At 49.0% G+C, this 26542-nt stretch overlaps 1 pseudogene, besides 6 other annotated features; it reads left to right on the forward strand.

Annotated features, from left to right (window-relative positions):
• Positions 2726 to 3262, forward strand: COX6A1P2 (COX6A1 pseudogene 2; annotated as a pseudogene).
• Positions 7895 to 8913: a transcriptional cis regulatory region, noted in NCBI's record as "candidate enhancer chr6.2470 targeted for multiplex CRISPR interference". NCBI's record gives its function as "positively regulates PIM1 gene expression in K562 cells {active_cell/tissue: K562}" and the evidence as "EXISTENCE:mutant phenotype evidence [ECO:0000015][PMID:30612741]".
• Positions 8192 to 8767: a transcriptional cis regulatory region, noted in NCBI's record as "TAD2.SE1.HS7 sgRNA1-sgRNA3 range targeted for Mosaic-seq CRISPR perturbation". NCBI's record gives its function as "positively regulates PIM1 gene expression in K562 erythroleukemia cells {active_cell/tissue: K562}" and the evidence as "EXISTENCE:mutant phenotype evidence [ECO:0000015][PMID:28416141]".
• Positions 9575 to 9624: an enhancer, noted in NCBI's record as "active region_24451". NCBI's record gives its function as "activates an Ori minimal core promoter by ATAC-STARR-seq in GM12878 lymphoblastoid cells {active_cell/tissue: GM12878}" and the evidence as "EXISTENCE:reporter gene assay evidence [ECO:0000049][PMID:35858748]".
• Positions 14175 to 15061: an enhancer, noted in NCBI's record as "H3K27ac-H3K4me1 hESC enhancer chr6:37024071-37024957 (GRCh37/hg19 assembly coordinates)". NCBI's record gives its function as "activates a minimal SCP1, AML or CMV promoter by ChIP-STARR-seq in naive H9 embryonic stem cells {active_cell/tissue: H9 hESC(naive)}" and the evidence as "EXISTENCE:reporter gene assay evidence [ECO:0000049][PMID:30033119]".
• Positions 15109 to 15610: an enhancer, noted in NCBI's record as "H3K27ac hESC enhancer chr6:37025005-37025506 (GRCh37/hg19 assembly coordinates)". NCBI's record gives its function as "activates a minimal SCP1, AML or CMV promoter by ChIP-STARR-seq in naive H9 embryonic stem cells {active_cell/tissue: H9 hESC(naive)}" and the evidence as "EXISTENCE:reporter gene assay evidence [ECO:0000049][PMID:30033119]".
• Positions 15611 to 16110: an enhancer, noted in NCBI's record as "H3K27ac hESC enhancer chr6:37025507-37026006 (GRCh37/hg19 assembly coordinates)". NCBI's record gives its function as "activates a minimal SCP1, AML or CMV promoter by ChIP-STARR-seq in naive H9 embryonic stem cells {active_cell/tissue: H9 hESC(naive)}" and the evidence as "EXISTENCE:reporter gene assay evidence [ECO:0000049][PMID:30033119]".

Genomic DNA, 26542 nt, shown 5'->3' on the forward strand with positions numbered 1-26542 from the left:
ATGGCAGACTGTATTTTCTAAAGATGGAAGCACTGATATATCCCATTTCCCATGCTCTTCTTATAATGCGATGTTAGCATCCTCCTTTGAGAGGTAGGGTCAATTCCCTCTGCTTGAACCTGGGCAAACCTTTGTAGTTGCCATAACCAATAGAATGTAGTGGAAGCAAAGGTGTGTGGCTTCCAAGGCTCGGTTATAAAAGGCATCACAGCTTCTGCCTCAGCTTCCTGGACAGCTTCCAGAGGACACTCGAGCAGCTCTGTGGAGAGATCCATGTAGAGAGGAACTGAGGCCCCCACCTACAGCCAGCACCAGCTTTCCAGCTGTATGAGTGAGTAACTCTAGACATAGATTTTCTTGAGCCCAGTATGGTGGCTCATGCCTGTAATCCCAGCACTTTGAGAGGCCAAGGTAGGGGATTGCTTGAGCCCAGGAGTTTGAAACCAGCCTGAGAAAAACAGTGAGACTCCTATTGCTACAAAAAATTGAAAAATTAGCTAGGCCTGGTGGCACACACCTGTGGTCCCAGCTACTCAGGAGGCTGAGGTGGGAGGATCGCTTGAGCCCAGTTCGAGACTAGCCTGAGCAACATACTAAGACCTCATCTCCAAAAACAGTAATAATAAATTTTTTTAGAAAGAAAGAAGTAGATCTTCTAGTCCCAGTTGAGCCTTCAGATACCTTCAGCCTCAATTTGCATCTGACTACAGCCACATGAAAGACCCCAAGTGAGCACTGCCCAGATGAATCCTTCTCAAATTTCTTACCAGCAAAAAACTGTATGAGAAAATAATTTTTTATTGTTTTTCTAAGCCACTGAACTTCTGGATAATATGTTATACAGTCATATATAACTAATATGTAACCATCAATAAGGGACTACGTCTATCCAACAGGGGACTACTTAAATATATTATGGTAAATGCATATAATAAAATATTATGTAGTACTGACTTGGAAAACTCTACAAGATAATTTCTTAAGTGAAAAAATGCAAAGTGCAGAATAGTATAGAGGATACTGCTGTCTTAGTTCATTTTGTGTTGCTATAACAGAATACCACAGACTGGGTAATTTATAAAGAAAATACATGTATTTGGCTCATAGTTCTGGAGGCTGGGAAATCCAAGAGCATGATGGTGGCATCTGGTGACAGCCTTTGTGCTGCATCATCCCATGGCAGAAAGTGGAAGGGCAAGAGAGGGCAAGAGCAAGAGAGCAAAAGGGGGCCAGACTCACTTTTTTTCTTTCTTTTTTGGGACAGAGTCTCGCTTTGTCACCCAGGCTGGAGTGCAGTGGTGCGATCTCAGCTCACTGCAACCTCCACCTCCCGGGTTCTAGCAATTCTCCTGCCTCAGCCTCCTGAGTAGCTGGGATTACAGGCACGTGCCACCACGCCCGGCTAATTTTTTTTTTGTATTTTTAGTAGAGATGGGGTTTCGCTGTGTTAGCCAGGATGGTCTTGATCTCCTGACCTCGTGATCCGCCCACCTCGGCCTCCCAAAGTGCTGGGATTACAGGCATGATCCACTGCGCCCGGCCCCAGACTCACTTTTATAATATGCCCATTCTTAAAATAACTAACCCATTCCCACAGTAATTGCATTATCCTGGCTCTGCCCTCATGACCTAATCACCTCTCATTAGGCCTTGCTTCCCAACACTGTTGCATTGGAGATTGAGTTTCCAACACATGAACTTTGGTGGACACATTCAAACCATAGCAACTACCATTTGTGGAAAAAAAAAAAAAAATAGCTAGGCACAGTGGCTTATGCCTGTAATCCCAGCATTTGGGGAGGCTGAAGCAGGAGGATCACTTGAGGCCAAGAGTTCGAAATCAGCCTGGGAAACATAGCAAGACCTCATCTCTATGAAAAAGACAAAAATTAACTGGATGTTGTGGCATGTGTGCCTGTAGTCACAGCTGCTGGGGAGGCTGAGGCAGGAGAATCACTGGACCCCAGGAGTTCAAGGTTGCAGTGAGCTATGATAACATCACTGCACTCCAGCCTGGGCAACATAGAGAGACCTCGTTTCTAATAAAAATTAAAACAAAACAAAACAAACAAAGCAGCCTGTCATAGTGGCACATGCCTATAGTCCCAGCTACTTGGGAGACTGAGGCAGGGGGATCACTGAAGCCCAGGAGTTTGAATTGCAGTGAGCTACAATTGCACCACTGCACTCCAGCCTGGGCGACAGAACAAGACCCTGTCTCTGAATATATATATATATAATATATATATATTTATATATTTTTTATGTATATATATTATATATATATTTATATATTTTTATGTATATATATTATATATATTTATATATTTTTATGTATATATATTATATATATTTATATATTTTTATGTATATATTATATATATTTATATATATTTTATGTATATATATTATATATATTTATATATTATGTATATATATTATATATATTTTATATATTTTATGTATATATATTATATATATTTATATATATTTTATGTATATATATTATATATTTATATATTTTATATATGTATATTTTATATATATTTATATATTATATATATTTATATATTTTATATATATACACACACATAGAGATATATGTACATATGCATAGAGATAATACACATATATTTTGTAATGTGTATATATACACCATATATATTATCTATTCAAAAGTAAATAAAGTTGAACATTTTAAAATAATGCTTTGCGGCGCTGCGGCAGTCCAGATCAAAAATGGCGGCAGTTGGTGTGTTCTCGGTTTCTCGGCTGCTGGGTCGGTCCCGCCCACAGCTGGGGCGGCCTATGTCGAGTGGCGCCCATGGAGAAGAGGGCTCAGCTCGCATGTGGAAGACCCTCACCTTCTTCGTCGCGCTCCCCGGGGTGGCAGTCAGCATGCTGAATGTGTACCTGAAGTCGCACCACGGAGAGCACGAGAGACCCGAGTTCATCGCCTACCCCCATCTCCGCATCAGGACCAAGCCGTTTCCCTGGGGAGATGGTAACCATACTCTATTCCATAACCCTCATGTGAATCCACTTCCAACTGGCTACGAAGATGAATAAAGAGAATCTGGACCACTACCCGGGCACCAGGGACCACAGCACTGGTTTGGACCATTACTCTGCACATGGACCAGAAAAAGTATATGGGACCTTAAGCTCACCTTCTTTACTTGTATCAAATGATGACTGGTATACTGGTCTCCCATCCCTTTGCTTGTGGCGGGAGATGGCTTAAATAAATAACTTAAACTTAAAAAAATAAAATAAAATAATGCTTTGTCTTTAACTCAGAAGTTTCGCTTCTACGAATTTATCCTTAGTAAATGATCATGGCAAAGATTTAGCTTAAAGGATGTTATCACAGCTTCATTTGATATTGTGAAAAAGGTAAAACAACCCAATTATTCAACAATAGGAAATTTGTTGAATAGCTTATGCCATTCTCGTACTCGGCCACCGTCTTTAATGGCCTCTTAGAAAACGATCCCATGCCCTGGGAAGTGATCATGATATACTAATTGATAAGAAGTTATGACATGGCACCGTGTAATCTTATCTTTCAAGTCAATTGAATTATATAAGTGTAGATTGAGATGTAGATTAAAACACAGGGAGAGATGAAGATAGATACAGAAACCAAAATGTTAACACTGATCTCTGGGAGGTCCAATTACTGTTGATTTTGTTTTCTTCTCTTTCACCTGTGTTTTTCAACAATAAATGTGCTACTTTGTAAAAACACAAATGCTACAAATTTGTCTCCTTTTTTTGTGAAGGATTCCTAGATGATTCTATAAATAGCAGCTCCAGATACAGAATTTGAAACTTTGTTTTTAAAGAGAACAGAGTTTTCAAAGTCAAAGATTACCAGACATACATCGTTGGTTAGAGAGAGCTGCCAGGCCTGTTCTAAGAAGTCCTATCATGTTGGTGACAACACTGACCCCCTCCCAGTCCAGCTGGCCAGTGGTGGCCATGTCCAGAGGGGACATCCTGAGTGCAGGCTGTGTCCCTAAACTACCTCTAATCAAAACTAGTAGGCATGGGAGGCGCCAGAATTTGCATAGGATGATCTTGGGACCAGTATACAATCTGCACTTCCAAAGCCAGCCCACTGTTTGTACTTACATCATAGCTTAAAAAGTGGGCTGGGGCCAGCTGGGTGCAGTGGCTCACACCTGTCATCTCAGCACTTTGGAAGGCTGAGGCAGGAGGATCACTTGAGGGTAGGAGGATTACTTGAGGTTAGGAATTCGAGATCAGCCTGGGCAATATAGTGAGACCCCCTCTCTAAAACATTCTTTTTAAGCTAGCCAGGTGTGGTGGCTTGTGCCTGTACTCTCAACTACTGTGGAGGCTGAGGTGGGAGGATGGTTTGAGCCCAGGAGTTTGAGGCTGCAGTGAGCTATGATGGTGCCACTGCACTGCAGCCTGGACAACACAGCAAGACCCCATCTCAAAAAAAAAATCATAAGTGTTACAAGTTTAATTCTATGTCCCCAAAACTCCTATATTGAAGTCCTAACCCCAAGTACCTCAGAATGTGATTGCATTTAAAGACAGGATGTTTAAAAAGGTAATTCAGGTAAAATAAGGTCATGAGGATGGGCCCTGATCCAATCAGAAGAGGAAATGAGGAGAGACATGTGCAGAGGAAAGACCATGTGAAGAGAAAGAGAGAAGACGGCTCCCGGCCAAAAAGAGAGGCTTCAGAAACCTGCCCTGATGACACTGTGCTCCTGGACTTCCAGCTTTCAGAACTGTGAGAAAATAAACTTCTGTGTTTAAACCACCCAGTCTATGATACTTTGTTATGAAGACGTCATGTTTACTAAAGACATTTTTTTTTTTGAAACGGAGTCTCGCTCTTTTACCCAGGGTGGAGTGCAGTGGCGCGATCTCGGCTCACTGCAACCTCCATCTCCCAGGTTCAAGCAATTTTCCTGCCTCAGCCTCCTGAGTAGCTGGGATTCACTTCGCTTCCACGTCCAGCTAATTTTTTGTATTTTAGTAGAGACAAGGTTTCACCATGTTGCCCAGGCTGGTTTCGAACTCCTGAGCTCAGGCAATCCGCGCACCTTGGCCTCCCAAAGTGCTAGGATTACGGGTGTGAGCCACCATGCCTGGCCCTGAAGACACTTTTTAATGTATACTTCATATAAGACTGAGAAAATGTCCATTGTCCAAAACAAAGACATTTTCTAGTGGTGCCTCTGAGGTATAGAGCTGATGGCAGTTATGGGGACTTTGGGCACCTCCAGCCCCCAGGCACCTCCACTGCAGGCTGCAGGTTTGCACCCTGGCCTTCCCAGCAGGCAGAAGCAATCCCACCATCCCACGAGCCTGGAGAGCCCGGGTCTCAGCTCCTGGTGGGTCCTCAGGTCCCCGTGCAGAGCTGCAGCCTGGCTCTGAGGCTCTGTCTGGTCTCACCAGTCACCTCTGCAGGGACCTTTTGGGACCTGCTTTCGTCTGTCTGACACTCCTATCAGAGGGGTCTTCCTGCCTCCCAGACCGGACCCCATCTCTAACCCTAGAGGTTCTAGCTCACTCCCTCACCACCACCCTGCTGCTCCTAGACCCCCGGATGTGGTTTCTGGCCTGCAGGAAATTCACTGTCTCCATATCCCCAGCCTGTCTTCCAAGTGCGCTAGAGGCCCAGGCATCCTTATTCTTGAGGCCACATGCTTCCACGTGTCAAATATATTCAAATGCACCCACATGCATCACATATAATTTACATAAACCATAGGAGTTAAGTTGCAAATGTCTAGTTAACATTTTGTAGTCATTTAGTAATTTCACTCTTAACAGTTTACTTCCCTGCTTTTGAAGCTAATGATCGTCCCCTCCCTGCTGTGGCTCAGGTGTTGCCATGGGCGTTTGCCACTGCTCATGGCTGGGGCACCTCAGTCATGGACCTAGCTGTGGTCCATGCCCAGGGTCCCTTCTAAGGAAGTCCAGGCATGCACTGGTGTGCCTGACCCAGGGGAGCCCTCCAAACCACCCAACATCCAGGTACAATGGCCCAGTCTCCGTGCAGTGCTGTAGGGCAAGAGGGGCGGCCCATTTCCAAGCCAAGATGGCCTCCTCCTCCTCTCTACACTTGCTCCTTGGCTAGCTCACTCATACCTTCACTTGCTTCCAGCAGATTTTCCACTATGCAAGAAAAGCTAAGGGCTAAGAGGGTCACTTGACATCGTAGAATCCAAAAGTCCTTCCCATTACAGAGATAAGAAAACTGAGGCCCCGAGAATGAAGCGGTGACCTTCAGGTGCATCCTTGCATTTTGTGGAATTTGAATGTGGAATTCTGCCCTGGGCTGAGGTTGAGATTTTGCAGTTGCTCAAGGGGAACCCTGGAAGCAGAGTGTATCTACCCTCCTCAGACCACTGAGACCCTCAGATTTGTCTTCATCCCAGGTCAGTGGACTTCTCCCAGGTTTTGTTGTCTTCTCTCGGCAACACCCTGCTGAAGCCAGGGGGAAGGCGGGAGATTTATCCTGGGTGCTGAGTATCTAGGGTTATCAGATAAAATGCAGGATGGCCAGTTACAATTGAATTTTAGATAAATAACAAATAAGTTGTTTAGCATGAAGGTGTCCTAAATGTTGCTGTTTATCTGAAATTCAAATGTAACTGGGCATCCTGCATTTTTATTTACTAAACCTGGCCACCCTGTAAGTATCCCATTTCGTTTGGGCCAGGCCCCTCCCCACTGCAGCTGTGAGTTTTCCTGCCACCCAACAGCGTGAGTCACACAGCTGTGGACCTCCAGGCAAATGTTTTTGAACAGAACAGCATCACGGTTTAGGGGAATCCCCTCGCTGTCCCCATAACACATGCTTCAGCAAAGCAAAAACCTTAAAACAACATCTCTGGGAGGAAAATAAAGAAGGCATCAAGAGTTCCCAATGACTCGGGGAAGGCCCCAGCCACGGCCACATTAGTGCAGCCAAGATGGCCACGACTAGATGGCTGGCTCTTCACCTCTGGGAGAGGCACAGCTGGCTTTGACAATCGTGGGAAATTGGAGACCAGACCTTCCCAGCCAACTCCTGTCAAGGTCTGATACTCGTCCTTCCCCACCTTTCTGAGAAGAGGCCTACGAGGAAGAATGGGCTCATGGGCTATGTGAGCCGAGCAGGTTACTTGACTGTGGGATCATGATTGTATCTTTGTCATGGCATCACTGTGGGGATTATAGGAGGAAATTAATGTAAAATGCTTGGCCCAGTACCTGGTGCGCAATAAGCACTTACAATCAATGGTGGCTATTGTTATAAGAACGTCAGGACATGCACTTGGCCATCAAGCCAGTGGGTCTTCTGAAGAGGGTGAGCTTGGAATTCTCTGGGTGCCCATGGTTTGTTGCCCCTCAGAAAGCTGTGGGCCTCTAATATGGGCATATCCCCTGGACTGGAATCTGCATTAAGCCAGTGTCATCTGTCAGCGCTTTGTTTGGGTTAGTCGTTTTTTTGTTTTGTTTTGTTTGAGACAGAGTCTTGCTCTGTTGCCCAGGCTGGAGTGCAGTGGTGCAATCACAGCTCACTGCAGCGTCGACTTGCCGGGTTCTAGCAATTCTCCCACCACACCCTAGTAGCTGGGACTATAGGCGCACACCACTACGCCTGGCTAATTTTTAAATTTTTTTTTTTAAGAGACAAGGTCTCACTGTGTTGTCCAGGCTGGTCTTGAACTCCTGGGCTCAAGTGATCCTCCCGCCTTGGCTTCTTAAAGTGCTGGGATTATAGACGTGAGCCACCATGGCCAGCCCTGGGTTAGATTTTTAGTCACTCAGCAGGGTCCTGAGGAGGCCGGACTCAGAAGAGTTCAGCTTTGAAGGTGGAAAAAGCAAGTTTTCTACCTGGGATGCCCCCAAGGGTAGCAGGCCATACTTCCTAAGTGTGCATGTTGGTGGGGAGGGAGGGTATCAAGGAGTATGTCCCTGGAGAAGGGAGAAAGGAGGGGGCGTGGGAAGGGGCCTGTGGAACGCACGTGTCTCATTTCCTCTTTCGGAATGTCCGCTGTGGGCCCCAACAAAGGAACTTCGGTTGGAACTGGGGTGAGGAAGCCCCCGAAGATCAACTTCTCTTCCTTTAACATTTGGCTCTGCTGAGGGCCCTGGGGTTGGAACACCCACCTTCTTAGAAAGAAACTGAAAGGCCTTAGGAGAAACCCCGCCACTTCCCCTTCCTCGGTAAGAGGAACTTGGCGTTGCCCTGACAGGAAAGTCTTGGTGGGGCTTCTCGGAAGCCGCCACCGCTGCACTGCTGAGCAAAACCACAGGTCAGGGGCCAGGCCGGGGGCCAGGCTAGTGAGGACTGGCCATTGATAAAGTCACAGGCTCCATCTAAGCCCATCGGCAGAACTGGGGAGCTGCCAACATTTCCTCTTCCAGCACCGCCTGCCAACTCCTGTTTGGGAGCCACCAACCCCTCAGCTCTGCCAATGGGTCCCTCCCCACTCACACCAGCCCTCCAACCAGGATCGTTCTGTGTCTGCGTTCTGGACCCCCAGCTATGCCCACCACCCAGCAAAGCTCATCCATCCAGCTCCCATCCCCCACAGAGGCACTGACTCTCCCGTGGAGTCCTGGGGGACCTCACGGGCACGTGGAGCTGTGCTTTGGAATAGGTCACACCCTGTGAGCTGCTTCGGATGGCCTTGTAGATTAAGAAAAATGGTCTTTTGCTGGGCACGCAGGAATGCTTGACTTAACGGTGACTGCTATCTGCTGCGTCCATTCGGAGATCAGAAACAGGCTTCTCTCTGGGACTGGGGATGCCTCTCCTCATCCCTGATATATCCAAGGGCAGCTGCTGTGGCAAGGGGGACAGTGCACAGGTACAAATCACATCTCAGGCCAGCCCCAAAGGGGCCGAGAGATCCTTGGGTCCTAAAGGGTCCCAAAGCTTATTTGTATAAGCTTATTTGTACTAAGCTTTAATATAAACATGTCAGGATGGTGTGGCACCAGAGCCCGGCCACCACTGTGGGGACAGGGTCCAGCCTGCACGGCCTTGCACAAGACCTGTGCCAGGGACCCCTGTGCTCCATTCCAGCTCCTCCTCCAGGCTTTGCTGTGACGAGCCTCTGCCTCCTTCACCCAGCCCTCTCCTGCCCACCCTGTGAGACTGAGCCCCAGTCCAGATGGGTAGGGGCTGCCTGCATGACCTCACTGAGTATATCCCCCAGGGACCCTTGTCCACATCACTTGGTGGTTGCTCTGAGCAACACCCAGCTGGCCTATAGGCTCCCGGATAACAGCAACAGTGGGCTTGGCATCTCTGGATGAACATTTGATGAGGTAATAAGTAAATGGGTGAATTTAGTGCTATCTACCAGGCCTTGTGGCTGAGAGCCCCACGTGCCCACATGCTCAGACATCCACGTGTGGGCAAGTGCACCCGCGTGCGGCAGGAGGAGACACGTGCACGCCTGCCACGGTGTCCCTGAGACGTGTGTCTGTGGATCCCTGCGTTTGTCCCCAGCATCACCCATGATGCCAGCCAGCAGGTGGCGGTGCGCCCCTCCTCTGCGGGTTCGTTGGTCCAAACCGCCGGCAGCTGTCAAGACTGAAGGGGCCTCAGCAGGCACATGGAGCCCACCTCCTTCCTCCCACAGGGGGTCAGGGCTGCTTGGGTCTTGTGGGGAATCAGCCTGGTCTTCCGACCCAGGAGCCAAAACCCTAGTCCAACCCATGTGAGTGGGGCCATCTGTGTGCCCAGCACGGAGCTGGACCCTGACCCCGCAGGAGGGACTGGCGTCCAGGCAGCTGCACAGCTGTGGAGTGGGGAAGTAAAGGCATGGGCTCGCACTCCCAGCCCTGTCTCTGCTGGCTGTGTGACCTTGGGCAAGTTCCTTAACCTCTCTGAGCTTGTTTCCGTGTCTGTTAAGCAGGAATCATGGCAATCTGTAAAATGAATTAGTCAGTGTAAAACATGGGCCACAGTGGGGCCCTACCATAAGGCAGCAGTTCTCACACTTAGGTCTGGAGGGCTTTTGAAAACACAGAGGCCCCGCCTCCAGAGTGGCAGATTCACTAGGTCTGGGGAGAGGCCTGTGACTCTGCATTTCTAAAGAGTTCCCAGGTTGTGCTGATGCTTCGGGCCTGGGGACTACACCGTGAGGACCAGTGTATACGGGATGCTTGGTGTCAGTCAGGAGAGACCCACAGGGTTACACACAAGGCAGGAAGCATCAGCCTCCAGCGAAGACATAGAGGGGCAAATTCCAAGGGCTGCAGGGGGCCCAAGGGAGGACACACCCCTATGATGGGGGTGGCCGGAGGGGCAGAAGGAGGAGCCTCTGGACCTGTCTCTCCCCACCACAATTATCAACATAATCCCTGTCCTGACTGCACCTGCCGGCCCTGCCCGGAGGAAGTGGACCCTGGAGCCCTGGAAAGGATGGGTTAGTTGGCTGTCAGTTCCTGGCTTGGCCAACACTGTGCTCCAGCTTCTGGGAACTCACGTTTTCTTTCTCCTTTTTTTTTTTTTTTTTTGAGACAGGATCTCACTTTGTTACCCAGGCTGGAGTGCAGTGGCTCGATCATAGCTCACTGCAGTCTAAACCTCCCTGACTCAAGCAATTCTCCTGCCTCAGCTTCCTAAGTAGCTGGAACCACAGGTGTGCCCCAGCGCAACCGGCTAATTCTTTAATTTTTTGCAGAGACAGGGGTCTCACTCTGTTGCCCAGGCTGGTCTCGAACTCCTGGACTCAATCAATCCTCCCATCTTGGCCTCCCAAAGTACTGGGATTACGGGTGTGAGCCACCACGCCTGGCCCCTTTTTTAAATATTAGTTTTAAGTCAGAAAGGTAATGCATGTCCATCTTAGAAATTAGTACAATGCAGAAAACTGTAAAGAGGAAAATGAAAATAGTAATCCAAACTTCAGTCAATCAGAGCTAATCAGTATGAGTCTATTTCTTTTTCTTGTCTATGTGTCTGCTTCGTGCATACCGTGGTATCCACTTGACATCGTAGCATAAGCGTTGTCCTTTGATGTTAAAACTCTCAGAAACGGCCGGGCGCGGTGGCTCATGCCTGTAATCCCAGAACTTTGGGAGGCCGAGGCGGGTGGATCACAAGGTCAGGAGATCGAGACCATCCTGACTACCACGGTGAAACCCCATCTCTACTAAAAAAATACAAAAAAAACTAGCCAGGCATGGTGGCGGGCGCCTGTAGTCCCCGCTACTCGGGAGGCTGAGGCAGGAGAATGGCTTGAACCCGGGAGGCAGAGCTTGCAGTGAGCCAAGATCCACTGCACTCCAGCCTGGGCGACAGAGTGAGACTCCGTCAAAAAAAAAAAAAAAAAAAAAAAAAAACTCTCAGAAACGTGAATTTAAGGTCAGCACAACAATCCAGTACAACAAGGTGCCAGACTATATCTGCTTGACTTAAACACTCCCTACTGTTGGACATGCAGGCTGTGTATTTATTTATTTGGCGATTCTAAATAATCCCCTGTGAAGGGTTTGATCCATCAGTGCTGCCTGCATTTCAGATGGCTTCCCCAGCAGAACTTCCTTGAAAGGGATTCACTGGGTCAAAGGGCATGAAAGTTTAAAAGTCTTGATACATATGGACAAAATACTTTCCAAAAATATGCCGGCTGACGGTCCCACCTAGGGTGGGAGGGAGATGACAGCCTGCTCAGCTCAACTCACATAAAACCCTGCTTAGCCCAATTCCTGACATCTGAGATTAAACGAGGTGGCCCAAGCCCCCCAGCAGGGAAGAAGGGCCCAACTCTGTCCAAACTCCACATTGGTCAACCTGCGGAGTGCCATGTCCCACGTCACACTCCAGGTAGAAGATGTGGCACCTCAGGCCAAGCACGACCTGGGCAGAGCTGCCCTCCCGCTCTTGGAGCCAGGATTGTTCTTCAGCCCTCACTTTCTTTCATACCTCATGTCCAGGATGTCTGCAAGTACATTTGGGGCTACCTTCAAAACATCCCCAGCTGGGCATGGTGGTGCACACCTGTAGTCCCAGCTACTCAGGAGGCTGAGGAGGGAGGATCGCTTGAACCCAGGAGTTCAAGGCTGCAGTGAGCTATGATCATGCACTGCCCTCCAACCTGGGCAACGGAGTGAGACTTCACCTGTAAAAAATGAATTAATTTAAAAAACTCCACATCCTGAATGTGACCACAGCTCCTCTCTCCACCACTACCCTGGCCCACCTCTCACCTGGTTATCTCAGTAGCCCCCTCTTTGACTCTCTGCCTCCCCGGGCGTGAGCCACCGCGCCCGGCCGTTTCTGAGAGTTTTAACATCAAAGGACAACGCTTATGCTACGATGTCAAGTGGATACCACGGTATGCACGAAGCAGACACATAGACAAGAAAAAGACCCCCTTAGAGTCTGTTCTCCATAGCAGCCAGAGAGATCCTTTCAAAACCTAGGTTACATCAGCTCAGCCCTGAGCTCACAACCCTCCAGTGGCTCGTTCACGTGGGGTAAAAGCAAAGCCCTCACTATGACCCGCAAAGCCTTTAGGACCTGTGCCTCCCGCACTCCCATCACCTCCCTCACCTAACATCCTGCCACTCCCCTGCACCCTCTCAGCTCCCTGATGCTCCTCAGAACACCTCCAAGTGCATTCCTGCCTCAGGGCCTTTGCACTTGCCGTTACTCCTGCCTGGCATATTTCCTCAGGTACCCACAGGGCTCCTCTCCTCAACTGTCATCTCAAAACAATCATAAGCAAACAGGATCTGCTTTGGGAAGGCCCTCCCTGATCAGCCCATCTGAAGAAGCGCCCTGGCCCCTCTCTCTTCCCTCACCCTGCGTCGTGCTCCCTTACTCTGCGATTATTCTCTGCCCTCTCTAGTAGTAGAAAGCCTCCACAGGACTGCACTCTGTCTGTCTCGTTCACTGCTGCAACCCTGGCACCTGTGTGCCGCCTGGCTCCCAGTTGGTGTTCCACTGTACATCTGCTGAATGTTGACTTGAATGGGAGATTGCACTGTCTGGGTATGTGCGTGTGGCTTCCCCTGCCTGGGTGATACCTTACTGTCTCTAAGGTCCCCAGCTCGCAGATACTGCCTGGCATTTAGTAAGTAGCCAGGTTGGATTCGCTGTACAAATGGACACATGAAGACAGGAAGGAACTCACAGCAGGGCAGGAGAGACCACTGCATGGGGGTCAGGAAACTGGAATTCCAGATAAACCCCTGCCACTCACCATCATTAGGCCTTGGGCAAGTCACTTCACCTCTTTGAACCTTAGTTTTTCACCCATAACATGGGCATGGTGACCCCTGTGCTGTTGGCCTCACAGGGCTGTTGTGAGGATTACATGACAAAGACAAAGCAAGGCACAGGGACAGCCCTGCTCAAGCTGCAGCTCTCCCATGAGGCTCCACCTGACACCTCACCTTGCCAGGCCAACCAATCCTTTCTCTGAGCCCCCGAGGAGCCCCTCCAGCGCCTCATAGATTGTGTGTGTGTGTGTGTGTGTGTGTGTGTGTGTGTGTGTGTGTGTGTGTGTGTCAGGGCCCTGCTGGTGCTTTTATGGAAGCTATATTTTTATGACTACCCTCCCCAAACTGTGCACCCCTTGAGATGGGGCCCTGCCCCACCATCTTTGCGTCCGTTGGTCTTACCCTGTGCCTGGCAGCTAGGAGTGCTCCTGGGACATCTGATGACTGGCCAAGTACATTTGTTGAAAGCTATGGATGTATGAGTATGATGTGAGTAACTACAGGTGGCGACTTTAGGCCTGCATAGATGGCTGGGGTGAGGCAATTCAGCAAGGGGCTATTTGGGTTCTGGGGCAGGAGGGCCAGGTGGGGCCTCAAGTGCCCCCCGGCCCCCCCGCCGAGAGGAAGGGAGGGGGGTGGTGCTGGACTGGCCAAGTTCACTGTAGGCCAAGGGCTGGACAGCTTCCTCCCCAGACATGGGCCACATCGGCCACATCTTCTGAGCTGCGGGGTGGAGGCCTGGCTGCCCACCTGCATTCCTTACTCTGCGTACCCATGATCTCATCCCGGCCCTCAGCCACCCACAGGGCAGGAGGCTTTGCCCCATTGTGCAGATGAGACAGCCATGCCCTGCCCTGGGATGGTCATTTGGCCTGGGCTCAGGGCACTCTAGTGGGCCCCAGGCTCCGGCGGGGTGAGTGGAATGTGGTCACGGAGGCCACCCCACGCTGTCTTGTTGGGTTTAATGAGCCCCATTGGTCTGTCCATACCCTGAATAAGCTCTGGTCTACCGACCCTCCTATGGGCTGCTGGGGCGGGGGAGGTCCCAGGGTTTTCCAGATTCAGCTGTCCTCCCTCTGCAGTCTCAGGGACCCAGACAGGGCTGGCTGACAAACAGGTCCTGCCCGGGATGGGCGTGGGGCTGAGCGAGCGAAACTCCTTTTAGGAAGGAAATCTCGGCCAGGTTGAGAAACCAGCATCTTGCCAAGGCCTAGGGGGTGGGGGAGCCCAGGTGAGCCGACTCAGTCCTCAGGAATGGGTGGGGTCTCCAGGAGAGGCGGGCACTTCCTCCGCCCCAGCCCAGGGTCCTGTTCAATCCTTATTGAGGAGTTTCCTGGCGACAGGCAGTGACCTGTCGGCTGCCTGTGTGGGAAGCCGCTTGGCGTGGCCCTCCCCATCTCATTAGTGGTGATTCACCTGGACTCACCTGGCTGTCAGGGACCTGTCCCACTGCCCGCTGGAACCAGCTCAGCAGGCACCCTCTGAGGGGCAGAGACCTCGTTCCCTCAGCTCCCCGTCCTCCATGGTGTCCAGGGCAGAGTGTACCAGGCACACAGTCAGAGCTCACAATTCATTCATTTGACTAACAAATATTTACTGAGCACCTACTGTATGCCAGACACTGGGCGAGGTGCTGGGGCTACAGAGTGAACCAGGCAGACCCAAATCCCTGCCCTCTTGGAACTCACATTCTTGTGGGAAAAGTCAGACAGTAAACAAATAAATAAGTGAATCACATAAGCTGCAGAAGATGGTGAGTGCTGTGGAGAAAAATAAAGGCAGGAAGAGTGTGAGATGGGGGCCATGCCTTTAAATAGGGTGTTCAGGGTGGGCCTTTCTGAGAATGTGGTATTTGAGCAAAATCTGATGAAGGTGGAGGTAAAGAAGGGAGCTGTGCAAATAAGGGAGAAATAAACTATACCAGGAAACAGCGAGTGCAAAGGCCCTGGGGTGGGAGTGGGAGTCAGGGTGGTTTCAGGAATAGCCAGGAGACACGTAGCTGAAGCAAGCTGGCAACAGGGCAGATAGCGGAAGACGGGGTCAGAGAGGTGGAGGTGGTGCAGACTTGTGGGGTCTTATAGGCCTTTGTAGGAACTTTGGCTTTTTCTCAGTTGATTTCTGTCAAAATGCTCCCAAATCCCCCAGTTGAACCTGAGACCAGCGCCTCAGTCTTCTTCCGCCCGGCTTGGAGCTTGCAGAGATAACTCAAGGGTCAGGGGTGTTTTCACTGGGAGGCTACCTTCTAGCAGGGTCTGGGTGGATAAGTTTGCTGGGCAGGGGTGAGGTGCCCGTGGAGCACATGTGAAGAGGAGGAAGACTGTTCAGGACACAAGTACTTGCTGCAGGGGGATTTGGTGGGAAGAGGAGCAGAAAGGAGCTAAGCTGAAAGAGAAAGGTGAGGCCCGTTCTGTAGGAGCCAGCCTCACGCAACTGTCCTTCCAGCCTCAGCTGGGATTGTGCCCCAGCTGACAGTCCATGCTCCAACATCTCTCTTTAGTCTGGGTCTTTGCACTGCTCTTCCTTCTGCCTGGAAATCCTCACTGTCCTTTGCCTGGTAAATTCCCATGCATCCTGGCGGTCTTGGCTTAGATATTACGAAGTGGTCCCTTAGGTCCCAGAGCAAGGGCTCCTCCCATGGGCCCAGCACGCCCCCCACTGAAGCATGTTTCACATCGTATCATAACTGCCCACCGTGGGGTCTTGCTTCTCTGTGAGACCATGGCCTCCACAAGGGCTTGGACCATGTTGGGGTTTGCCTAGAACAGAGGCTGCCACAGGTGCGAGCAAACACGCACTAGGATTTGGATCCCTCAGATGCTTCCAAGCAGAGTAACAAGATCAGACTCACATTTTAGAAAGATGACTCTGACTCCAGTGTCTATGTTGGGGAGTGGGCGGGGCTGGAGATGGGCAACAGCTTAGAGGCTATTGCAATAGTCCAAGCAGATGCAAGGAAGGATAGAACCAGCGAGTCAGCTGCTGGGAGCAAGAAGAGGAGCACGATCTGGGAGAGTTTTTGGAAGAGACATCAACAGGACCTGGTGACCACTGGCCCTGGGGATAGTGAGAAGGGAGTGGAGGGTGGGTCCAGCTTTCCCTCTGTTATTTTGTGTCCTTCCTCCTGTCTTGCCGGTGAACAGATCCGACTTCCTAAGGCACAATATAGTGCAGCGGTTATGAGCACAGGCTTTGGAGCCCAACTCTGGGTTCGGCTCTCCTCTCCACTACATACTTGCTGGGTAAGATTGGGACAGATTTACTCAACCTCTCTGTCCCTCAGTTTACCCGTCTGTAAGGCAAGGATGGTAACTGAGATTTAATTACTGCATTTCATGGATTCTAAGATGATTAAAATTGATCTCCATTTTAACATTTCTGAAATCAGGGTGAGTCTGAAAATCAATGGCATATCAAGGATTAATTGGCAGCATCGTTTAGTGGTACACAAATAACGTGATGTCTAATGATTGATGGAACTGTAGATTTGATGAAACACAAAAATACACGGAGAGACCAGTACCTGGCATGTCGTAAGGGGTGAATAAACATTAGCTGTTATTATTATTGTCATAATTTGTTTTCTGGAGAATTGTTTGCATACAAGGTAACAAATGCCCAATCAGATTAAGAGACAAATATAATTAGGAGCTAAAAGAGAAAAGAAAGCCGGGTGCGGTGGCTCACGCCTATAATCCCAGCACTTTGGGAAGCCAAGGTGGGTTGATCACTTGAGGCCAGGAGTTTGAGACCAGCCTGGGCAACATGGTGAAACCGTGTCTCTACCAAAAATAAAAAAAAATAGCCAGTCTCATAACCTGGTCTCAAAATAAATAAATAAATTAATTAATTAATTAATTAAAAATTTTAAAAAGAGAGAGAAAAGAAGCTAATTCATAAATAGATACAAAGCCTTAAAACTTTTAGTAATCTCCCCCCCAAAAATTCCCAAAGCCGAATGCTTCCCCTGAAAGGTCCTACAGAATTCTGCCAAAGTTCCAGAGAAAACTTTAGAAATTCCTCCTTTACAAAGGGGACCAGAACTTCTGGCTCCCTGACCGGCAGGGGGAACCAGGGCATGTCCCTGGATGACTTTGGGGGTGTTCCCTGTGTCCTTGTGAATTTCCCTGAGTCACCATTACTCACTGCCCACAATCAGGGCTCTGCTACCTTCCAACCAGGAGAGCAACAACACCCGGGGATCAAGGGCCATCCTCAAACAAAAGTGTGATTATAACGCGTTCTGCACGGGCTATAAACCGTCCCCAGCTCCGGAGAGCAGGGTGACCCTCACCAGCGTCTTATTTCTGGCCTCCTGGGTTGTGTTCCTGCCTACTGACTTGGCAAATCCTAGGCGACTCGCCTTGTTTTCTCTCCTCACTTAAATACATGTCTGGAAAAAGCCTCCACCCCCACAGACCCTGCTGTGTGCGGAGAGGGTGGCATGCCTGGAGGAGGAGGAGAGACAGGGCGGGCTGACTCGCAGAGCCTCCTGCTCCCTGTGGAGAAGACTTGGCCCAGGAAGGCGCCCCCAGGCCCAGCTACTGGGGGAAGCAACACTTCCCGGCTCCTGTGCTCCTTCAGGCTCAGCCAGGACCCTCAGCACAGCTCTTATTCTCTCCTGCTGTTGTCTGCATTGCCAGGGGACTGTCTTGGCTACCCCCACCCTGTCAGGCTCACACACCAGGGCCTGGTGACAGGGGCAGCCTCGACCTCCCAGACTCAAGTGACCCTCCCACCTCAGCCTCTCAAGTAGCCGGGACCACAAGTGCACATGGCCACGCCCGGTAAATTTTTGTATTTTTTGTAGAGAAGGGGTTTCACCATGTGGGCCAAGCTGATCTCAAACTTCTGGGCTCAAACATTCCTCCTGCCTTGGCCTCCCCAAGTGCTGGGATTATAGGCGGGCATCTCCATTTCCTTTTCACAGCTGAGGAAACTAGGCCCAGTGATAGAAACTGATTTACAAGAATCGGAGTGCTCCCTCTCATTGACAGAAAGGAAATGGGCTTTCAACGTGAGTGCTCCATTTCCTCAAATTGAGCATAAGTTCCTTGGCAACAAGCCATACTCATCTTACATTTCTTGACTTGCTGGAAGCATTAAGCACAATGCTGGGCACATGCAGTTAGTGGGTATCAAACACTTAAGAACTAGTTGATTTGAAGTAAATAAATAGGCCAGGCAAGGTGGCTCACGCCTGTAATCCCAGCACTTTGGGAGGCCAAGGCAGGCAGACCTCCTGAGGTCAGGAGTTCAAGACCAGCCTAGCCAACATGGTGAAATCCTGTCTCTACTAAAAATACAAAAAATTAGCCGGGCGAGTTGGCAGGTGCCTGTAGTCCCAGCTACTTGGGAGAATTGCTTGAACCTGAGAGTCGGAGGTTGCAGTGAGCCGAGATCACGCCATTGCACTCCAGCCTCGGCAACAAGAGCGAAACTCTGTCTCAAATAAATAAATAAATAAATAAATATTAATTTAAAATAAATAAATAAAACAACTTTTCAAATAACCATGATGAATTTTCACAGAAAATATCATTTAAGCACTTTCAGCTCATAAAGCATTTTCACATACATTAGCCTATGTGCTCCTGATGGAGTAACTGGATAAAAGAGATCATTATCGGCCGGGTGCAGTGGCTCACACCTGTAATCCTAGCACTTTGGGAGGCCGAGGCGGGCGGATTACCTGAGATTGGGAGTTTGAAACCAGCCTGACCAACATGGAGAGACCCCTTCTCTACTAAAAATAAAAAAATAGCCAGGTGTGGTGGCACGTGCCTGTAATCCCAGCTACTCAGGAGGCTGAGGCAGGAGAACCGCTTGAACCCGGGAGGCAGAGTCTGCAGTGAGCCAGTTAGACTGCAGCCTGGGCAACAAGAATGAAACTCCATCTCAAAAAAAAAAAAGATCATTATCATATCTATTTCACAGATGAGGAAGCGCAGCACAGGGGATGTGTTTAAGGTCATGCAGCTGGGATTACAATTCCTGTAGGCACGACTTAACAGGTGTCTCAGGACACCAAAGTCTGTGTTGCCTTTGCAGGTGGCCTGGTAAATTGGGGCTGGGCACCCTATCTCACTCTTGGTTCTGTTAATCTTGTGCTGTGTTCACCTGCTGCTGAGACGGCAAGTCTCGATCATAGCAGCCAAATAAACTCCAGACGGTCCTGAAGGCTGCAGGCGCCTTTCTTGAGATTGCAGTTGCTGCAATGAATACTCAGCCAAACACCATGTGCCAGTGAGTGTCACGTGGGGGCATTTCCAGCCCCAGGAAAGGGCTGGTCAGGAGGGTCAGGCCAGAGTCCAGCTAAGCAGAAAGGCCTGGCAGCTGGCACCACGCAGGGAGGCACAGACAGGGTCAGGCTGGGGGACACAGGGCCATGCTGTCTACAGGAGCCGACCAGGTCTGCTGTCCAAGTGGTTAGAGATACATTAGGCCAGAGGGGCTGGAGTGGGCCAGGCAGGGGACCGAGGCTGATTGCTCTCTGCCCTGTTACTCACCCTTGCCCAAGGGGGCCTGAGGATTCTGGCCTAGAGTGAAGGTGGTCAGTGGCCTGCAGACAGTGCAGCAGGATGGCCCAACCACATCTCTTTGGCCCTTTCATTATGACATTTTTACCCCTGATTGCAAAAGTATCTTGTGTTCGCAATAGACAAACTGAGGACCACCAAAAAACCCCACATATGCACGAAATAGAAATCACCCATAGTGCTGTCTTTTTATTTTCTGCCCCCGAGATGAAGTTTCACACTGTCGCCTGGGCTGGAGTGCAATAGCGTGATCTCGGCTCACTGTAACCTCTGCCTCCTGGGTTCAAGCAATTCTCCTGCCTCAGCCTCCTGAGTAGCTGAGATTACAGACGTGCACCACCACGCCTGGCTAATTTTTGTATTTTTAGTAGAGATGGGGGGGTTTCACCATGTTGGCCAGGCTGGTCTCGAACTCCTGACCTCATGATCTGCCCACCTTGGCCTCCCAAAGTGCTGGGATTACAGGCGTGAGCCACTGCGCCCGGCCTAGGGCTGTCTCTTTTTAACTGTATAAAGTACAAAAGTTGAAAAGCAAATGCTCCTGTCTCCTCCCTCTCATCCCTTCCCTCTCCATCCGAGGTCATAATGGTAGCAGTTACTAAGATGCCGTCTCTCTTCTTCTCTTCCCTTTGGAAGGAGTGGTGCAGGGTTTTCCCAAGAGGGGAAACAAAACTCAGTCACTGTTTTGATCAAAAACATAAATGTCCATTTCACTCTCATTCTTTTTAAGTATGAAACATGTTGGTGACAAGGCACTCTGGGGAGTTTCCTGGCTCCACCCACTCGGGACACTTTTACTGGCTCCACTCTGGCCACCCTTACAATCTCCCTTCAGCAGGACCAGAGAAGGAGGCCTCTGGGGTTTGATTTCAAAGCAACCAGAAGGCTTTGCCGCCCTCCAGCCGCCTTTTCATCAGATCACCGATACCCAAAATTCCACCATTAGACATCATTCCTTCAACAGAAAACTTTGTTTTCCCTGAAAATACATGGAAATTGTGAATCCTTTAAGATTATGGGAAGTCAGGTACAGTGGCTCACATCTGTAATCCCAGCACTTTGGGAGGCTGAGGTGGGCAGAACACCTGAGGTCGGGAGTTGGATACCAGCCTGGCCAACATGGCAAAACCCCATCTCTACTAAAAATACAAAAATTAGCTGAGCATGGTGGCGTGCACCTGTAATCGCAGCTACTCAGGAGGCTGAGGCAGGAGAATCCCTTGAATCTAGGAGGCAGAGGTTGCAGTGAGCCAAGATCATGCCATTGCACTCCAGCCTGGGTGACAAGAACAAAACTCCGTCTCAAAAAAAAAAAAAAAGAGTATGGGATAGTAAAAAAATACATTGTGATTTTCTTTCCGGAGGACGTGGTTTGGATTTTTTAAAAGATTATGATATTTATGGGTGTTGTTTTCCTGATTATAAAAGTAACACATTTCTTGTAGAAAATGTGGAAAAAAGAGAAAAGCATAAATAAAAAAACAAAAATAATACTTGCTTATAAAATATCACCCAGAAGACAGGTATGGTGGTGCACACCTATAGTCCCAACTACTCAGGAGGCTGAAGCAGGATCACTTGAGCCCAAGAGTTCGAGGCCAGCCTGGGCAATATAGCAAGACATTATCGTTACAAAAAAAAAGTGTTAAAAATATATTCATTAATTTTTAGTAGAGACAAGGTCTCACTATGTTGCCCAGGCTGGTCTCAAACTCCTAGCCTCAAACAATCCTCCCACCTCAACCACCCAAAGTGCTGGGATTATAGGCGTTTGCCACCACTCCTAGCCAAAAAAATGTTTTATTTTATTTATTTATTTGTTTTGAGACGGAGTTTCACTCTTGTTGCCCAGGCTGGAGTACAATGGCGCAATCTCAGCTCACCGCAACTTCTGACTCCCGGGTTCAAGTGATTCTCCTGCCTCAGCCTCCCGAGTAGCTGGGATTACAGGCCTGTGTCACCGTGCCCGCTAATTTAGTATTTTTAGTAGAGATGGGGTTTCTCCATGTTGGTCAGGCTGGTCTCAAACTCCCAACCTCAGGGGATCCACCCGCCTCGGCCTCCCAAAATGCTGGGATTATAGGCATGAGCCCCCACATCTGGCCCCCAAAACATTTTTAATTAAAAAAAAAATCGGCTGGGCGTGGTGGCTCACGCCTGTAATCCCAGCACTTTGGGAGGCTTAGGTGGGTGGATCACGAGGTCAGGAGATCCAGACCATCCTGGCTAACACGGTGAAACCCCCGTTTCTACTAAAAAATACAAAAAATTAGCCGGGCATGGTGGCGGGCACCTGTAGTCCCAGCTACTCGGGAGGCTGAGGCAGGAGAATGGCATGAACCCGGGAGGCAGAGCTTGTAGTGAGCCGAGATCGTGCCACTGCACTCCAGCCTGGGTGACAGAGCGAGACTCCGTCTCAAAAAAAAAAAAAAAAAAATCACCCAGAGATAACCACAACTATCATATTGATATAAAATTTTCCAGTCTTTTTCTATGTAAATTATGTACAGTGTATAAATGTAGGTACACAGACACATTCCTATTTACACATATTAATGATGCGGAAATGACGCTTTCCTTTATTATTGTACCATGTCATTAAATGTTCTTTGCTCATATAGCTTTAATGTATACAAGAGGTCTTCAAAAAGTTCATTAAAAATGTGTATTATGAAAAAACCTGCCTGAATTTCAATTTTTCTTTTGCACCAAAATAAAGTCATACTAAAGTTATAACATGGCCAAAGAAGATCTAGTTTTAGGCAGCAGGGCACAGTGGCTCACGCCCATAATCCCAACACTTTGGGAGGTCAAGGAAGGTGGGTCACTTAAGCCCAGGAGTTCGAGACCAGTCTGGGCAATATAAGGAGACCCACCTTTCTACATAAAATTTAAAAATTAGCCAAGCATGGTGGTGTTCACCTGTGGTCCCAGCTACTTGGAAGGCTGAGGTAGGAGGATCACTTGAGTCCAGGAGGTCGAGGCTGCAGTGAGCCATGATCGTGCCACTGCACTACAGCCTGGGTGACAAAGTGAGACCCTGTCTCAAAAACAGAAAAACAGAAACGAAAACAAAAAACTAGTTTTAGGCACTAAGAAAGATAAGATCTCAGTTTGAAAAGAGCTCCTTTCAGAGCAACATGAATTCCGCTAAAATTGAAGCAAGAACACATGTCACATTTATGGTAAAGCTTGGGTGGAAGAATGGTGAAATCACTGATGCTTTACAATAAGTATATGGGGAAAATGCCCCCCAAAATCAGCAGTTTATTATACAAGTGGATAATTTCTTTTTCTTTCTTTTTTTCTTTTTTTGAGATGGAGTCTCGCTCTGTCACCCAGGCTGGAGTGCAAGGGCGCGATCTTGGCTCACCGCAAACTCTGCCTCCCAGGTTCAAGTGATTCTCCTGCCTCAGCCTCCCGAGTAGCTGGGATTACAGGCGCCCACAACCACGCCCAGCTAATTTTTGTATTTTTAATAGAGACAGGATTTCTTTTTCTTTTTTTATTTTTGAGACGGAGTCTCACTCTGTCACCCAGGCTGGAGTGCAGTGGCGTGATCTCGGCTCACTGCAAACTCCGCCTCCCGGGTTCACGCCATTCTCCTGCCTCAGCCTCCTGAGTAGCTGGGACTACAGGCGCATGTCACCACACCTGGCTAATTTTTTGTATTTTAAAGAATTAGATGAGATGGGGTTTCACCGTGTTAGCCAGGCTGGTCTCGATCTCCTGACCTTGTGATCCGCCCGCCTCGGCCTCCCAAAGTGCTGGGATTACAGGTGTGAGCCACCACACCTGGACTTTTTTTTTTTTTTTTTTGAGACGGAGTCTTGCTCTGTCGCCCAGGCTGGAGTGCAATGGCGCGATTTCGGCTCACTGCAACCTCCACTTCCCGGGTTCAAGCGATTCTCCTGCCTCAGCCTCCCAAGTAGCTGGGGCTACAGGAACGCGCCAGGACGTCTGGCTAATTTTTGTATTTTTAGTAGAGAGGGGGGTTTCACCATGTTGGCCAGATTGGTCTTGAACTCCTGACCTCGAGATCCGCCCACCTCGGCCTCCCAAAGTGCCGGGATTATAGGTATGAGCCACCGCGCCTGGCCAACTCATTTTAATAAGGAACAAAACAAGATTGATGGAACCTGCAGCGGCAGCCCATCTAGAGCAATTTGTGAAGAATTAATCTTGTGCACGCCCTAATTGAAAAGAACCAATGATTTACAGCAGAAACAACAACCAACACCATAGACATCTCAACTGGTTCACCTTACACAGTTCTGACTGAAAAATTAAAGTTGAGCAAACTTCCTACTCCGAAGTTTGTTCCCAGAAGCCATTGTGCCCAGATCAGCTGCAGACAACAGCAGGGCTTTCAATGGAAATTTCAAACAAGTGGGATCAAGATCCTGAAGCCTCTCGGACATGGTGGCTCATGCCTGTAATCCCAGCACTTTGGGAGGCGGAGGCGGAGGCGGGCAGATCACTTGAGGTCAGGAGTTTGAGACCAACCTGGCCAACATGGTGAAACCCCGTCTCTACTAAAAGTACAAAAATTAGCTGGGCTTGGTGGTGCATGCCTGTAATCCCAGTTAGTTGGGAAGCTGAGGCAAGAGAATCACTTGAACCCGGGAGGCGGAGGTTGCAGTGAGCTGAGCTCATGCTACTGCATTCCAGCCTGGGTGACACAGCGAGACTCCATCTCAAAAAAAAAAAAAAAAAAAAAAAAGATCCTGAAGCATTTCTTCAAATAACTGTAACGGGAACAGGAGATGAAACAGGGCTTTTACCAGTGCGATCCTGAAGACAAAGCACAATTAAAGCAATGGCTACCAAGAGGTGAAAGTCAGAGCAAAAGTGGACCAGTCAAGAGTGAAGATCAGCTGGGGGCAGTGGCTCATGCCTGTAATCCCAGCACTCTGGGAGGCCAAGGTGGGTGGATCGCTTGAGCTCGGGGGTTCGAGACCAGCCTGGGCAACATGGCGAAATCCCATCTCTACAAAGAATACAAAAATTAGCCAGGCATGGTGGCATGTGCCTGTAGTCCCAGCTACTCGGGAGGCTGAGGTGGGAGGATCACTTGAGCCTGGGAAGTCAAGGCTACAGTGAACCATGTTCGTGCCACTGCACTCCAGCCTGGGTGACAAAGTGAGACATTGTCTCAAAAAATAAAAATAAAAGAGCAGTCAGGTGCGGTGGCTCATGCCTGTAATCCCAGCACTTTGGGAGGCCGAGGCGGGCGGATCATCTGAGGTCAGGAGCTCGAGACCAGCCTGGCCAACACAATGAAACCCCCGTCTCTACTAAAAATACAAAAATTAGCCAGGCATGGTGGCAGGCGCCTGTAATCCCAGCTACTCGGGAGGCTGAGGCAGGAGAATCGCTTGAACCTGGGAGGTGGAGTTTGCAGTGAGCCGAGATTGCACCAGTGCACTCCAGCCTGGGTGACAAGAGCAAGACTTCGTCTCAAAAAACAAATAAATAAAAAAAATAAAAGAGCAAAGATCATGGCAACCGTTTTCTGAGATGCTGCAGGCATTTTGCCTGTTGACTTTCTGGAGGGCCAAATCACAATAATATATGCTAATTATGAGAGTGTTTTGAAAAAGTTCACCAAAGCTTTTACAAGGCAAATACCTGGGAAAGCTTCACCAAGGAGTCCTTCTCCACCACAACCATGCTCCTGCTCATTCCTCTCAACACACAAGGGCAATTTTGCAAGCGTTTCAATCGGAAAGCGTTAGACATCTCGGTGTGGCTCCTATAACTTGTTTCCTTTTTTTTTTTTTTGGAGACAGTTTCGCTCTGTAGCCCAGGTTGGAGTGTAGCGGCACAATCTCAGCTCACTGCAACCTCCGCCTCCTGGGTTCAAACGATTCTCCTGCCTCAGCCTCCCGAGTAGCTAGGATTACAGGCACCCTCCATTACACCCAGCTAATTTTTTGTATTTTTAGTAGAGACTGGGACTGGGTTTCATGTTGACCAGCCTGGTCTCGAACTCCTGGCCTCAGGTGATCTGCCGGCCTCAGCCTCCCAAAGTGCTCACACCTGTAATACCAGTACTTTGGGAGGCTGAGGCAGGCAGATCACTTGAGGTTAGGAGTTTGAGACCAGCCTGGCCTACATGATGAAACTCCATCTCCACTAAAAATACAAAAATTAGCTGGGCATGGTGGCAGCTTCCTGTAATCCCATCTACTCGGGAGGCTGAGGCACGAGCTTGAACCTGGGAGGCGGAGGTTGCAGTGAGCCGAGATCACTCCACTGCACTCCAGCCTGGGCAACAGAGTGAGACTCTATCTCAAATAAATAAATAAAATAAATTTAAAACTATTTAAAGGGGAGCCATTTTTCTTCAGTTAATAACATTAAAAAGACTGCATTGACACACTTAAACTCCCAGGACGCTCAGTTCTTTAGGGATGGACTACATGGCTGGTATCATCACTTACAGAAGTATTTTGAACTCGATGGAGCTTATGTTAAGAAAAAAGTTTATGTTTTTTATTTGTATCTTTTAATCCCATTTTTTCACAAACTTTATGAAGTCCCCTCATACATGCACAGTCATAGAAATATACATAATCATAGGTAACCACTCCCCTCACTCTGGACATGTAAGCTGGTCCTAATCTTTCTCTACTGTGTCCAATGCTGCAGTGAATATCCTCTATAGAAATGCTAAGGGCAGGTTTTAGTCACGGGACTGGGGAGCACACACGGGAATGCCAGTGCCTGGGAGCAGAGGGGCAGTGAGAAGACAGTGTCATCCACCAGGGAAACCCGAA

Source organism: Homo sapiens, chromosome 6, assembly GCF_000001405.40.
Source record: "Homo sapiens chromosome 6, GRCh38.p14 Primary Assembly".
Classification (NCBI taxonomy): Eukaryota; Metazoa; Chordata; class Mammalia; order Primates; family Hominidae; genus Homo; species Homo sapiens.